At 33.2% G+C, this 15,741-nt stretch overlaps 1 protein-coding gene across 1 annotated transcript in view; it reads left to right on the forward strand.

The window, feature by feature from the left end:
• The window catches only part of UBR3 (ubiquitin protein ligase E3 component n-recognin 3), a 256,678-nt gene that overhangs the window by 200,615 nt on the left and 40,322 nt on the right, over window positions 1-15,741 (forward strand). The window contains exons 31-32 of the mRNA NM_172070.4: window positions 1,278-1,380; window positions 12,814-12,917. Of these exons, the coding sequence (NP_742067.3) occupies window positions 1,278-1,380; window positions 12,814-12,917 (207 nt within the window). The remainder of the gene's footprint in view (window positions 1-1,277; window positions 1,381-12,813; window positions 12,918-15,741) is intronic.

Here is a 15,741-nt window from a genome sequence, read left to right on the forward strand (position 1 = left end):
TACACATTGACTTATAAATAGGAGATGAAACAGGGTAAGGTATTTAGATTCCTCTGTTCGTTATAGAGAGATCAGATTGAAACTTACAAAAATATATTTCCTTTATCCTGCCCCATAGAGTAGAACATTTATTTTACTCAAATTACAGCTCCCATATGTTTTATAACAGCTTCCCAAAATACTATACACATACACGCATGTACACATAAACACACATGTACACCCCATACTACCCCATTTATATTGATGGATCTTGAGTAAATTAACATAAAATGTAGTTAATTTCTAGGTCTGCTGGCTCACAGCAACAAAATCTGGTCTAGTTTTAATTAGAAAATAAGTAACAATAATAGGTTTGTGTCATTCAGTTAACTTTTTTCCTAGATTTAAGAATTAATTTTAATCATATGTTAAGAAGTATCATATCTGATTTTGTAAAATATGACTTTTGATTTCCAAATATGTATGTGTGGCAGAATAATTTAATTATTGTCATAATTAAATTACTATGTGTGGCAGAATAATAATTAAATTATTATTCTGTGTGGCAGAATAATTTAATTATTGTCATTTATAACAAAAAAAGAAGGGGTGCATCAGATACAAAAGCAATACTTAGGGTTTTTTTTTTTCCCAGAATAATTTTAAACATGATATTTTCTTCTAAATGTCATGAGCAGAATTTTGTTGAAAGCCAAGATTGGTAGATTATTGTTATAATTCAGGTAGAATAAATTTAAATAGTTGGAATTGTAACAAATAATACTCTATTTCAGTTACTTTTTCTTTATGTAGAATCCAAAGATGATGAATTCACTCTTCAGTCTAAATGAGGTTTAGAGGGACATACTAGGCAAAGAAAGAACTTCACCTAACAGTGAGTTATTAGGATGTTGTGGTTCATATTACCCAGGGTAGAGGATTGAAGATAATAGTAAAGTTTGGTTAGGAAGAGAACACAATGGTGAGAAGTACAAACTGGCAAGGCTGCAGCGTAAAGTCAAGGACAAGTATGTCTGTGATAGGAGATGAGGAAAACCATTCCTGTATTAAGATTGAGTCTAAGGACAGTCCAGATTCTAGCACAGATTATTTGGATATGTATTTCAGAGGTTACCATAAAAGAGAGTGTGAAGTAATTGGGACTTAAACTTGGTGAATTTTAATTGTCAGGATGGGAAACAGATTTCCTTATGAAATAACTAGAAATTTTGTCTGAATTTTGTTCTGTAACAAATGTGTGAACTTTCTAATTACCTTTTCTTCAATTTTTTCAGATCAGCTGTTTCATGTATTAGCCTTGCACATGCGGCTTTATAGCATTGACTCTGAGTATAATCCCTGGAGAAAGCTCACCCAGTTAGAAGAGATGAATCCACAGTAAGTATAATTGAAAGACTAAAATCAATTAAAACTCTTTATGAAAAACAGGTGTTAAATATAAAAATGGAATTGAAATTTCAATATATGTGATTTTTTCACATTTTCTTTATGAAGCACAGAAATATATCATAAGAATTGAAAACAGTTTACCATTATGCTGTCTGTAAAAATTGCATACAAATTCCCACCATGTGAGAAAATCTTTTAAAGAATCCCACTGATTTTTATGCAGATTAAATAGTCAAGTGGAGGCATGTAATGGCTGGTTGTCTCTCTATTTATGTTACAATTAGTGGATTCAAGTAGCTTTAGTCTGATTCCTGCATTGTAAAGTGCCCCATCAGTCTTTCACCTAATGGTTTTAAGGACTCCTGATAATTCTTGCTAAAATCCATTATTTCATTAGGTGCTGCAAAATGGTGATTTAAAAAAATGCTTTCTTCTGATTAAATGGAATGTTTTTATAAAGAACTTTACCATATCAACTATTTGTTGACTCTGAAATACAGTTTGGCAGGATGAATACTTGATACTTTTCTGATTTATAAATTTTCAAAGTAAGGAATGGATGCCCTATTAACTTCCAACAGTGACCAATAAGTTTGGTCTTTGGTGTATTTTATGATCTCATGGATTTTATATATATTTGATGTGTTTCACTCCATTTCAATCTTTCCTCTTTTTGATACAAATTGTTCCCTTTTACTTTAGTGAGAATCTTTCCAAACTGACTTTTGTACTTTTGACATGAGCCAAGTAGTCTTTCATCATATCCTCACTTTCTGGTACAAGTTGGCCCGGGTTCGTTTTGTACATTTTCTATTTTATACTTGGAATCAGCCATTTCTCCATTTAGTTCCTTTTAATGGCAAATGGTATTTAGAGACCACAGTCTGGGTGCTAGAGGGCATACATAGCTAATAGGTTATCATTGTTTATAGGCCATTTCAGTGGACAGAGTTAGGAAATATTTTTTTAAAGGAAAAAAAGATCCTGTGTTCTTACTGGTATTTCTGATCAACATAAGATTGCACAGTTTTCATTTTATTTCTTTTTTGTTACTTGTATCTTTTTTCTCTTAAAGTCTTGATTCCTAATAATATTAACATAATTATTTGTATAACTAAAGTATAGCCTCGATTATGTTTTTAAAATACCAATATTACTACTAACCATAAATTATCTTTGTCATTAGAATATGTACTTCTAGGGATGTATAGTCAAAAACTGTGTTTTTAAATCACATAAAGTAACTTTTCCCATGTGATTATGCCATCAACTTGATTTATAGTTCAGCTCATTTCAGTTTTTTTCCTCAATATTTAAAGACTGCTTTTTTCCCCCTTGACTTATATTTTATTGTATAAAATTTATATTTTTCTGAAGTAAAAACTATATAACAAAATAAATTCATAGACATCAATCTTTCATTCCCATCCATTTGCATTTCTTTTTATGAAGTCTCTAATCTGTTGCCTATTTCAAAAAATTGGATCATTGGTCTTTTCCTTATTATTATTTTTCGGGGAGATGGGATCTCACTTTGCTGCCCAGGCTGGTCTCAAACTCCTGGCTTCAAATGATCCTCCCATCTGGGCCTCCCCAAAGTACTGAGGTTACAAGTGTGAGCCACCGTGCCTAGCCTTCCTCTTTATTTTTATTATTTGTTGTTTTAAAGACCAGATCTCCCTGTTTTGCCCAGGCTGGACTCAAACTCCTGGGCTCAAGCAATCCTCCCACCTCAGCCTCTCCCGTGTTGCTAGGATTACCGGTGCGCACCACTGCACCCAGCTTTCTCTTCATTTTTAAGATATGTTTATGTATTATGGGTATTAGTCCTTTTTGTTATAAGTTGCAATACATTTCACCAGATTGTCAAATGTCTTTTTACTTCATGTATGATTTTTTTGTCAAAGTTTTTTTAATATAGTCATATTAATCTTTTCATTTATTCTGAATTTTGAGTCACAGTTAAACACGCCTTCCTCTACTCCCTAGTTAAAAAGCATTCATCCATGTTTTCTTCTAGTATTTCTGTGGTTTTAATTTTTATGTTTAGATTTCTATTTTTTAAAATAATTTCAACTTTTATTTTAGATTCAGAGGGTACATGTGCAGGTTTGTACATGATTATATTGCAAGATGCTGAGGTTTGGGGTGTGATTGTTTTTATCATCCAGGTGTAGTGAGCATAGTACCCAATAGTTTTTCAACCCTTGCTCCCCTCCTTCCCTCTTCTAGTAGTCCTCAGTGCCTGTTGTTCCCATCTTTTGTCCATGAGTACCTAATGTTTAGCCCTCACTTATAAGTGAGAACGTGCAGTGTTTGGTTTTCTGTTCCTGCATTAATTCGCTTAGGATCATGGCCTCCAGCTGCATCCATGTTGTGACAAAGGACATAATTTCATTCTTTTTATAGCTGCATAGTAGTCCATGGTATATAGGTACTACATTTTCTTTATCCAATCCACTGTTGATGGGGACCTAGGTTTATTCCGTGTCTTTGCTGTTGTGAATAGTGCTGTGATGTACATGCAAGTACATGTGTCTTTTTGGTAGAACGATTTATTTTCTTTTGGATAGATACCCAGTAATGGGATGCTGGGTCATAGGATAGTTCTGTTTTAAGTTCTTTGAAAACATTTCTGATAAATTTGGAAAAAAAAGTGAAATTCTTTGTTTACTGATCTTGAAATATCAACAACACCCAGAGACAATGTCAAGAAAATATCTAGGAACAGAAAATATGTACTTTATGCCATCATTTGTGTAAAAAAGGGCAGGGAGAGAAAATAAATTTGTATGTGCTTGTTAAAAACAAAAACAAAAACAGTCACACATATCTGGATATTTGGATTTATAGCAGAAATGACACAAAGGAACACTGGGGGAATCATAGTCTTTATAATAAATGGTGCTGGGTTAATTGGATATTCACATGAGAAATAATTATTAATAATATTGGCCTCTACCATATGTAGACCTATTCAGATTTTGCCAGTTGTTGCAGTAAAGTACTGTGTAACAACAACAACAAAAAGATTATGCTTGCGTTTAGTTGCCATGTCTCTTTAATTTCCTTTAATCTGAAATTAAGCCTGAGTTTTTCTTTGTGCTTGATGACATTCACTTTTTTTTTTTTTTTTTTTTTTTTTTTTTTTAGTTCAGGCCAGTTATTTTGTAGCATGTCCTTTAATTTGTTTTTGTCCAGTATTTCCTAGTGATTAGATTCAGGTTATAACCTTTTGGCAGAAATGCCACAGACTAATGTGTTCCTTTTTAGTGCATAGTATGAGGAGGCACATGCTGTTGATTTATCTTGTTACTGATGATCATAACTCTGATCATTTAGCCAAGGCAGTATGTGCCAAGTTTCTGCACTGTAAAGTGATTATTTTACCCTTCGTAATTACTAAGTATCTTATAGGGAGATACTTTGAGACTATGTATGTATCTTGCTACTCTTCATAAAAACAACAAAAACAAAACTTTGTGTGTGTATTTTGTGTTTATAAACTAAATTAGCAAACTGAGTATTTTGTGTGTTGTTGCTAAGGAAAGTCATTATCCTTAGTAGTAACTAGTAATTTTCCTTTCTAGCTAGCATACTTAAGGACAAAGATGGTATACAGAGTATTCGAACACACAGCTCTTTAAGTCTAAAAGGTGTTCAGCAAACAAAAAGTTTCTAAGCCTAGTATTGACTAATTAAAAAGCTTAAAGTACAGACATAGATATTATGCTTTCTGTAATACTGATTTCTGGATTTTGTTCTTTTCAAGCCCTAATAATTAATGGACATTAGGATAGTAGTAAATGCTGTGAACACTTATATAGTACTTCATGCTAGGCATTTTGGTGCTTTGCATATATAATCTCATTTAATCGTCAATAATAACTCTATGTACTAGGTACTGTTTTATACCAGTTTTTATATATGAGGAACCCAAGTTTTAGAAAAGTCAATTAACATGATCTTTAGGCACACATAGCTGTTGAGGAACGGAGCTGAGATTTTAATCCAAATCTCTCTGATTCCAGAGCCTAAGTTTTAACTATCATTGTATGCTTCTTTTCCTAGTACTAGATCTTAGGAATTTCCGGAAAATTTGATTGGTTTTTCCACACCCACCCCCCCCCCCCCCAATATTTGCTCTCATTTTTATGGTTCGTTTATTCATTAAGTTGTAATATAAGAGTTGATTATAATATGTCATCTATATTTCATATTTATATATTTTTAAAATTGAAATATCTTTCTAGTTCCTCACCTCAACACTCTTCCAATATAAAATTCTATATCTGAGGATGTAGGTTTTTCATATATACTTTTTTCTATAATCCTATGAAAATTATTTTATTTCCTTCTAATTTTCATTGTGCTGATAATCATTTTTTATTTTTAAAAATGGAAAAACTATATTCCTATTAACTCTTCCACCCATTTCCTCTTATCCATAGAATCAACAGTTGCATTAATTTTTATAATCTGGATTTAAAAGACTATCTAAAACTTTAAGAGATAGATAAGAGATAGAAACAATTATTTTTTAAAGACTTTGGTTTGTTTTTTTTTTTAGAGCAATTTTAGATTCACAGCAAAATTAAGAGGAAGATACACAGATTTCCCATATACTCCCCACTGTAACAGATACATAGCCTTTCCCATTATCAATATCCACCACCAGTGTGGTACATTTGTTACAGCTGATGAGCCTATATTGACATACTATAATCACCCAAAGTCTGTAGTTACATTAGGGTTCACTCTTGCTGTTGAAGATTCTGTAGGTTTAGGCAAATGTGCAATGACATTTGGCCACCGTTGTAGTATCATACAAAGTAGTTTCACTGTCCTAAAAAAACCCTCTGTGCTCTACCTATTCATCCCTCCTCAGTACAACCCCTGGCAACCACTGATCTTTTTACTCTCTCCATAATTTTACCTTTTCCGGAATGTCATATAGTTAGAATCATACAATATGTAGCTTTTCACATTGGATTCTTTCATTTGGTAATATGTATTTAAGTTTCCACAATGTCTTCTCATGGCTTGATAGCTCATTTCTATATAATAGAAATAACAATCCATTGTCTGTACCACAATTAATTTATTCATCACCTATTGAAGGACATTTGGTTGCTTCGAAGTTTTGGCAATTATGAATAAAGCTGCTCTAAACATCTGTGTGCAGGTTTTTGCGTATATAAGTTTTCAGCTTTTTTGGGTAAATACTAAGGAGCATGATTACTGGATCATATAGTAATAGCATGTTTAGTTTTGTGAGAAACCACCAAACTGTTTTCCAAAATATCAGTATCATTTTGCATTCCCACCAGCAATGAATGAGAGTTCTTGTTACTCCACATCTTTGTCAACATTTGGTATTATCAGTGTTCTAGATTTTGGCCATTCTAATAGGAATGTAGTGGTATCTCATTGTTTTAATTTGCATTTCTCTGATGACATACGGTCTGGAGCATCTTTTCATATGCTTATTAAGCATCTGTATATCTTCTTTGGTGAGGTATCTGTTAATGCCGTGGTACCATTTTTTAATTGGGTTTTTTTCCTATTAGTTTTAAGAGTTCTTTATATTTATACGAGTATTTTACATATCAGTCCTTTATCAGATGTGTCTTTTGCAAATGTTTTCTCCAGGACTGTGGCTTGTCTTCTCATTGTCTTGACATTGTCTTTTGCCAAATAGAAGATTTTAATTTTAATGAAGTTCAGCTTATCAGTTATTTATTTCATGAATTATGCTTTTGGTGTTATATCTAAAAAGTCATTGCCATACCCAAGGTTATCTAGGTTTTCTCCTATAAGAATTTTATTGTTTTGTGTTTTACATTTAGGTCTGTAATCCATTTTTAGTTAATTTTTGTGAAGGGCATAGGTCTTTGTCTAAATTCATTTTTGTGCATGTGAATGTCCAGTTGTTCTAGCACCATTTGTTGAAAAGACTGTGTTTTTTCCACTGTATTGCCTTTACTCCTTTGTTAAAGTCAGTTGACTATAATTATGTGAATCTATTTCTGGGCTCTCTGTTCTGTTCCATTGATCTTATTTGTGTGCTTTTTTGCTAGTACCATATTGTCTTGATTACTGTAGCTTTATGATAAGTCTTGAAGTCAGGTAGTGTCAGTCATCTAATTTTGTTCTTCTTCGATTTTGTGTTAGCTATTCCAGCTGTTTTGCCTCTCTATATAAATTTTAAAATCAGTTTGTCAACATCTACAAAATAACTTGCTGGGATTTTGATTGAGATTGCATTGAATCTCTAGGTCAAGTAGCAAAGAACTGACATCTTGACAATATTGAGTCTTCCTACTCATGAACATGGACTATCTCTCTCCATTTATGTAGTCGTTTGATTCCATTTATCAGAGTTTTGTCATTTTCCTTAAATAGATCTTTGCATATTTTTTTGCTAGATTTATACCTAAGTATTTTATTGGGGGGGGGGTTGCTAATTTAAATGATGCTGTGTGTTTATTTTCAAATTCCAATTGTTCCTTGCCAGTATATATGAAAGTGATTGACTTCTGTATATTAATCTTGTGTCCTGTAGCCTTGTTACAATCATTTATCAGTTCCAGGAGTTTTTTGGTCAGTTTGTTCAGATTTTCTACATAGACGACCATGTAATCTGTAAACAAAGAAAGACAGTTTTATTTCTTCTCTCCCAATCTGTATAACTTTTATTTCCTTTTCTTATCTTGAGGCATTAGCTAGTACTTCCAGTATGATGTTGAAAAGAAGTGGGGAGTGGGGACATCTTTGCCTAGTTCCTGATCTTAGTGAGAACAATTATGTATTTTAAAATATTAAGCATTTTAAAAGATAGTTATCACAATGATCATATTAAACCCTGTAGTTGAAATCTTTGGTTCTCTTTTCTACAGAGGGGTGCATCAATCCATTCATTCATTCCAGTTATGGGCCAGTGATGTGCTAGGAAAGATCCATTTCTCTCTCTGTCCTTAGAATGGCTATTTTTATCTTATCAGCCAATAACTGCCAGGATTTTTTCTGATTATTATTGGGGAAAAAACTTACCAAAAAAAGTATTATCACTTAAACATTTTTTGGCTAATATGAGTGATTAAAAATGGGATCCTAAAGTAATGGAAATCTATTTGATTTCTAGCAAAGTTAAGTATTTTTATATTTATTAGCTATTTGTATACATTCTTTGTGAATGATATATTCTGGACCTCTGTCCATTTTCTGTTGGCATCTTATTGTTTAAAATTATATGAATGATTCTCCATGGTTTAAAATATTAAATCTTATTTTGTCATAGTTGTTTATAAGTGTTTTTCAAAATATGTTTGCCGTCTACTTTTGTAATTACTTTTCTTGACCCATTGAAGTTTTAAATTTTCATGTAGCCAGATCAATCAGACCTTATATTTCTTATTTTTTCCTATTACTTTCATACTTAGAATGCCCATGTCTTCCAAGAGCTGATGTATACTTTTATAACTAGTATTACAATGTGTAATCCAGTCTTAGGATTTGCAATATCTACCTATATTTTCACTTTAGAGTTTTCTCATGGGATGATTTTTAAAACTATATAACGTACTTGGAATTCATTCTCACCTGTAGTGTTAGGTGAAGATCTAAAATTTATTTGCAAATAACCAAGTAGTATTTTTAGTGATTTTATATCCTAGTTATTAAATACTAAGGGTTCCTACATTATAGGCCTGATTAGGAGCTTTCTTCTTTGTTCTATTGAGCTCCAAGCCTGTTTCTCTGACAATACCATGATGGTTTATTGTTTAGGTGATTTATTATGTCTAGTTATCGGGCTGAGTTAGGTTCCTCTCATTTCTCTTCCCCAAACTCTGACTCCCAGTTTTTCTTTGCTGTTCTCACTTATTCTCCAGAAGGTTTTTAGAACATTTTCTAAGCCCTTCCCCTCACTTATAATTTTTTTTTTGAGACAGAGTCTTGCTCTGTTACCCAGGCTGGAATGCAGTGGTGTGATCTTGGCTCACTGCAACCTCCTCCTCCTGGGTTCAAGCAATTCTTCTGACTCAGCCTCCCAAATAGCTGGGACCACAGGTGCACGCCACCATGCCAGGCTAATTTTTGTATTTTTAGTAGAGACAGGGTTTCACCATATTGGTCAGGCTGGTCTCAAACTCCTGACCTCAGGTGATCCACCCACCTTGGCCTCCCTAAGTGTTGGGATTACAGGCGTGAGCCACTGCATCTGGCCTAACTTGTAATTTTGATTATAATTATTTTAAACTCATAAATTAATCTGGGAAAGTAGTTATCTTTATAATATGCAGTTTCCTCAACTAGAAATATTCCCCATTCTTTTAATTCATTTTTTGTTTTATTCTGTTGTATGCATATTATGTTTCAGTTTTGAAACATTTGTTAATTATGCGTTCTTAGTAGTATATAATTCTTGCATACGGCAATTTGGACTGATTTTAAATAATATTGGAAGGTCACATACAATAATAAGCAAATTAATAATAGCATAAAGGAATCCACCTCTCATTTTGAGAAAGATTGCTTGTATTGTAGAAAATAGCTGTTAGCATATAATGTAAAATAAGATTCTAGTATTCTGTTAAGCACTTTAAGTTTTTCAGTTGCATATACTACCCCTATTTTATTAAACTATATTTAATTTTTTTATTTGGGAATGCTTTTCTTTTCTATACCTAAAAGCTCTGCAATTTGTTGGTCTGTAGGTTATCATGCAAGAAGTTCTCAAGCCTTTTTGATTTTTGTGCAATAAAGTACAGCTTTGCATAAGAGTGAAATTGGGCTAGCTTAAATGGATCCATAAACTTTCTTCTAATTTTAAGTGAGACTCTTTTAAACACCTGTTAAATTTAATGTAGCAGTCTGAGAATCTAAAATTATGTACCACTCGTTTATTTGTTCATTCATCCATCCCTTTTCCCATGAATATTTCATTTGTTTATCCAGCTAGTTTTATTAACTGTTTTAATCCAGGCATTGGGATATAATGATAAGCAAGATATCATTCCTGTGGAAACTTCTTCCAGGCACTAAAGATATAGAGGATGAATTAGAGGAACATAAAATTGGAGGAGATTGAATACTTAAAGGCAGTGGCCATAGGGATGGCAAAGAGGAAGTAGAGATAGAGTCATTAGGACTTAGTGCCAATTAAATACGGGGTGAGTGAGAGAAGATGGCTTTGGGATGTCCTCAAGTTCCTAGCTTATTTATTCATTATGCTTTTATTGGAGGACTATCATGTTTTAGGCATTGTTATGTTTCAGGCATTGTATAAATGCAGGAGGACGTAAGAAATAAGCCACATCAGAACTTAGATTATAGAGGGGAAAGTATTAGGTTGGTGCATTGCTTTTAGTGGCAGAAACAGCAATTACTTTGGCACCAGCATAATAGAATGGTTGTGACTGGGGTGGGAGTGTGCGTATAGAGAGAAAGATTATGGGTTCACTTTCAGGCCTGTTGAGCTGCCTGCCTGTTAGATATACAAGCGGAAGTAATGGATATTCAGATAGAGAGTTCGAGAGAGTCATTGCTGGACATACAGTCATCAGTGTATAGCTGGCAATTGAAATCATGGATTAGAAGGTCTTTCAAAAAGAGTCCTTAGTGAGAAAAGAAAGGGAGAATTGGAATCTTGAGGAATAACAGTTTGTTAGTCAGAGGAAGATGAACCTGTGAAGAAGACTAAAGTGGAGTAATCAGAGAGATAGAAGGTAACTTGGGACAGTGTTTCACAAAAGCCAAGAAAATTTTCCAGGCAGAATGTTCAGCTGTATCTAAAGTCAAGTCAAGGGTCTGTAAGATAAGGATTTAAAATGTCCACTAAATTTTGTAATTAGGAGATCATTGTTGATCATGTGAAACTATTTCTGTGGGGAATTTGAATAATAGAAATGGTGTGACCCCTACACTTTTTTTTTTTAGACCTTGGCCTTGCAGAGAGGCTAGATAAACTTGAAAGACCGTATCAGGATTCATAGCATTAATGAAGGGTTATCCTTGGAGAGGAAAACAAGTATACTAAGGAATATTTGTAGAAAATGGAGAAATTCAGAGAGCTGTCTTCCTCTGTCAGCCAAAAGTTTCTCAGCAGCAGGGGTTGATTTACTCAGCAGTGTGTTTAGTGCCTGACCTGTAGTAAGTAATTAGTAAATATTTGCTGAATGATCGAGCCTAATAAAAGAGTTGAAGAATTTTGTTCATCCCAAGTCTAAAGTGTAGCTTCAGAATTTAGCCACTTCTGGAGCTTAAGATTTACTTTTCTTCTCTGTCATTAAAAATTAAACATGTAGTCAAAAAATTAACCTTCTAAAGGCATTTAAAAAATTCTTTTAGAATAAGCTCTGCTTTATAATATAGTCTATGTTTTTCATAGTACTGCACATTCCTAAGGTTTACTACTTTGTCTTTTATAGTGTACTTTTTAAAATTTATTTTTTGTAGAGACAGGGTCTCACTGTGTTGCCCAGTTGGATCTTGAACTCCTGATTTCAAGTGATCCTCCCACCTCAGCCTCCCATGCCTATTGGGATTACAGGCATGAGACACCACATCTGGCCCTTTTATAGTGTATTTTAAGTTCTGCTTTGGTTATCTCTTTTTGAAACTTTGCAAATGTTAAAGATTTTATTTGAATTTTGTTAGTTATAAAGTTGAAACATTTTATTTTATTATTAATTTTGAGACAGAGTCTCACTTTTTCACCCAGGCTGGAGTGCAGCAGCACAATCACAGCCCGCTGCAGCCTTGACCTCCTGGGTTCAAGCAATCCTCCCACACACCACTAAGCCCTGCTAATTTTTTATATTTTTTGTAGTGGCGGGTTTTCACCATGTTGTCAATCTGGTCTCAAACTTCTGAGCTCAAGTGATCCGCCTGCCTCAGCCTCACAAAGTGCTGGGATTACAGGCATGAGCCACTGTGCTCGGCTGAAACATTTTAATAAGAGCAGTTAACCATACCTTTTCAACAGGAATTGATTTGGGAACTCTGCCTATCTCTTTTTAAAGATGTGAAAACTTACTTATTCGTTATTGCTAAGTTTGTGATAAGTATCCTATAAGCCACTCCATTTGTAGTGAAACTAATTCTTTCATTCTCTATGTAATACTTTAATTTCTGTAATCTAAGATCAGAAACACTCATAATCAAGTTAATGTATCCTAATTGTTCACTTTGATAACACAACACATTTTCTATACATTTTCTTCATGTTAGAGTCAAGAGAATATGAGTCTAAAATGTAATTTTTTTGCAAAAAATATGACTCCTAAGGTTTTTTTTTACATTTCTTCTTTGTGTATTAAAGTTTTTATTTCTGTTCCATAGATATATATGTGACATATAAAATAAATTAGAAAGAGAAGATATACAATACTATGTAAAGTGACTACATTTTTCTTTTAGGCTGGGATATGAAGAACAACAGCCTGAGGTTCCAATTCTTTATCATGATGTAACATCCCTTTTGCTCATCCAGATCTTAATGATGCCACAACCCTTACGCAAAGGTATGTCTTTATAATTCAGATTCTTTGATTATATACTATGTATTTTGAATATTCTAGAGATTATAGAGACAAATAGGCTGGGTGTGGTGGCTCATGCTTGTAATCCCCGCACTTTAGGAGGCTGAGGTGGGTGGATTGCTTGAGCACAGGAGCTCGAGACCAGCCTGGGCTATTAATATAGTGAGATGCTGTCTCAAAAAGAGAAAGAGAAGTAAATACAGCAGTAAGTATGATGGATACTTTTTGTGGTAATAACAGACATTGTTTTTTCTATTATTAGCAAATAGTAATCGTATCTAAAAAATGACAATGAAAAAGTGTTTTTTAAAATTCTTGTGGGTCTGTTCAGCTTTTTAGTCACTAAGAGGTAAAGACATGGGAAAACATTCTGAAAATGGTTTAAAAAATTGAAGTGATGATACAAATGAAAATTCGAAAAATAGAGCAAACTCTCAGCCTTAGTGCCTTTATCTATGTGCATACATATTTTGATATAGTAGTAATTGTAGAGTTATTAAAAATAGTCTCATCATTTTAAGTTAGTGTTAATATCATAACATTATTATATTAACAGCATCAGTATTATATTAGCAACATTTTAATTATTGCTCCTTGGTCTTTGTAGCTTTCACTTGAAGACAACATTTAAAATATTCAATCAGATAATTAACATCTTCTGTATTAGAAAACTAGTTTTTATTTTGTTTAACTATTACAAGTTACAGTAGAATGAACATCTATGGGTGTATAAAAGTCTTGTTCCTGGGGAAGACATTGTTTATACAAACTCCAGCTTGATCTTTGATAAATCCTTTTACCTAAGGGTGTGAAATAATCATTTAAAAATACATAGGCAAATTATGATATTTCATGCAAATTATGACATTCTGTAAAAAGTAAAACAATATCATTGATAAGCATAATATACTAGCACTGTGTGCTTCAATTAATATTTTTTAATCATGAAATTCACATAAAATAAAACTTACCATTTAAACAATTTAAAGTATACAACTGAAGTGCCATTTAGTACTGTCACAGTATTGTGTGATCATCACCATTCACACCATTAGTTAGTTCCAGAACATTTTCATCAGCCCCAAAGGAAACTCTGTGCCTATTAAGCAGTCATTTTCTTATTTTCTCCTTCTCCCAACCCCTGGAAACCACTAATCTGATTTCCTGTCTTCATGGATTTGCCTATACTGGATATTTTGTATTAATGATATTATACATTACGTTGCATTTTGTGTCTGGCTTCCTTCACTTAGCATGTTTTCAAGGTTTATCCATGTTATGGCATGTATCATTACTTCATTTATCTCGATGGCTTGGTAGTATTCCATTGTATGGATATACAACATGGTTTATCCACTTGTCAGTTGATGGACATTTGGGTTATTACCGCCTTTTGGCTATTGTGAATAGTGCTGCCATGAACATTCATATAGAAGTTTTTGTTTGAGGCCAAGTGTGATGGATCACTTGAGACCAGGAGCTCATGACCAGCCTGGCCAACATGGTGAAACCCCGTCTCTACTAAAAATACAAAAATTAGCCTGGCATGGTGGCATGCACCTGTAACCCCAGCTACTTGGGAGGCTGAGGCATGAGAACCACTTGAGCCCAGGAGGTGGAGGTTGCAGTGAGCTGAGATTGCGCCACTGCACTCTAGCCTGGGTGACAGAATGATACTCTGCCTCAAAAAAAAAAAAAAAAAAAAGTTTTTGAACACTTTTTTTTTTTTGTGGGGGATGTATAGCTAGAAGTGGAATTGCTGGATCATATGGTAATTCTGTTTAACTTCTTCAGGTAATTATATATTTAACTGCAAAACTTCAGATATTTTTGAATGTTACTTTTTTGGGGGGTTAGACTGTGTCTGCTAATTTAATCATTTGTGTTTATAGAGTTTAAAAACCTGTTAAGTAGTCTTATTAAAATTAATCTCTTTGTAAAATTAGTTTCAAATTCTTTAGGCTTTTTGTGTCACTTTGGTTAGTTTTTCTTAATCTAGGGAAACAGTTGCCTTGGATCATGCTGGTTTACTCCTGATTGTGCTCTTCTAATTATATTAGTAGTATTACGTTTTGAAATATTTTAAAAATTACTTTATGTCTTCAAAATATTTAAGTGTGTTAAATATACCTTTTACTTATGAGTTATTACATAAACCTGAAAAGGTAAAAGAGAAGGAAACTTGACATAGAGAAGATTGTCTCTCTGTCACTATTTAATCTATATTAATCAATATTTAATCTAAAGAGAAAAATATTTTAGTTAAGAGTAAAGGACCTGTTGTGTCAGTGTCTGAGAGCTGTAGCTGGTGCATCACCCTCGTTGTCAGAAGTTACTGTTGGCACTGGCTTTCAACAGAAGACGAAGTTCATGCTCAAAGAGGATGCAATACATGAAATTAACCAAACTTACTGAATTTAATTCAGTAGAAACAGAGTTTAAAAACTATATCATAAAGTGAGTCAAGAAAATTGATCTTAGTAATGGTTAAATAAATAGAATAAATTCAGGAAATCATCAATGTAAAAATGTATAATATTGTTAATAATCATGCCTTAAAGTAATATCATTAAAGAAGAGTTTCTTGGACAAATTTAATAAGCAAATTCAATAAATTCATTGCTTGATTCAGTTCAAGAAATACTTAATAAGTACCTACTGTGTACCAGGTTGCTATGCTTCTTTGCCAAGTGCTGGACACACAAAGATGACCAAAACATGTACTTCACCCTTGGGGAGCCAAATAGCTAGGTATTTAGCAGTCATTAAATTTACCTGTAGTTAGAATTGCTTTTAAAACTTGTGC

The sequence above is a fragment of the Homo sapiens genome, chromosome 2 (assembly GCF_000001405.40).
Source record: "Homo sapiens chromosome 2, GRCh38.p14 Primary Assembly".
Lineage (NCBI taxonomy): Eukaryota > Metazoa > Chordata > Mammalia > Primates > Hominidae > Homo > Homo sapiens.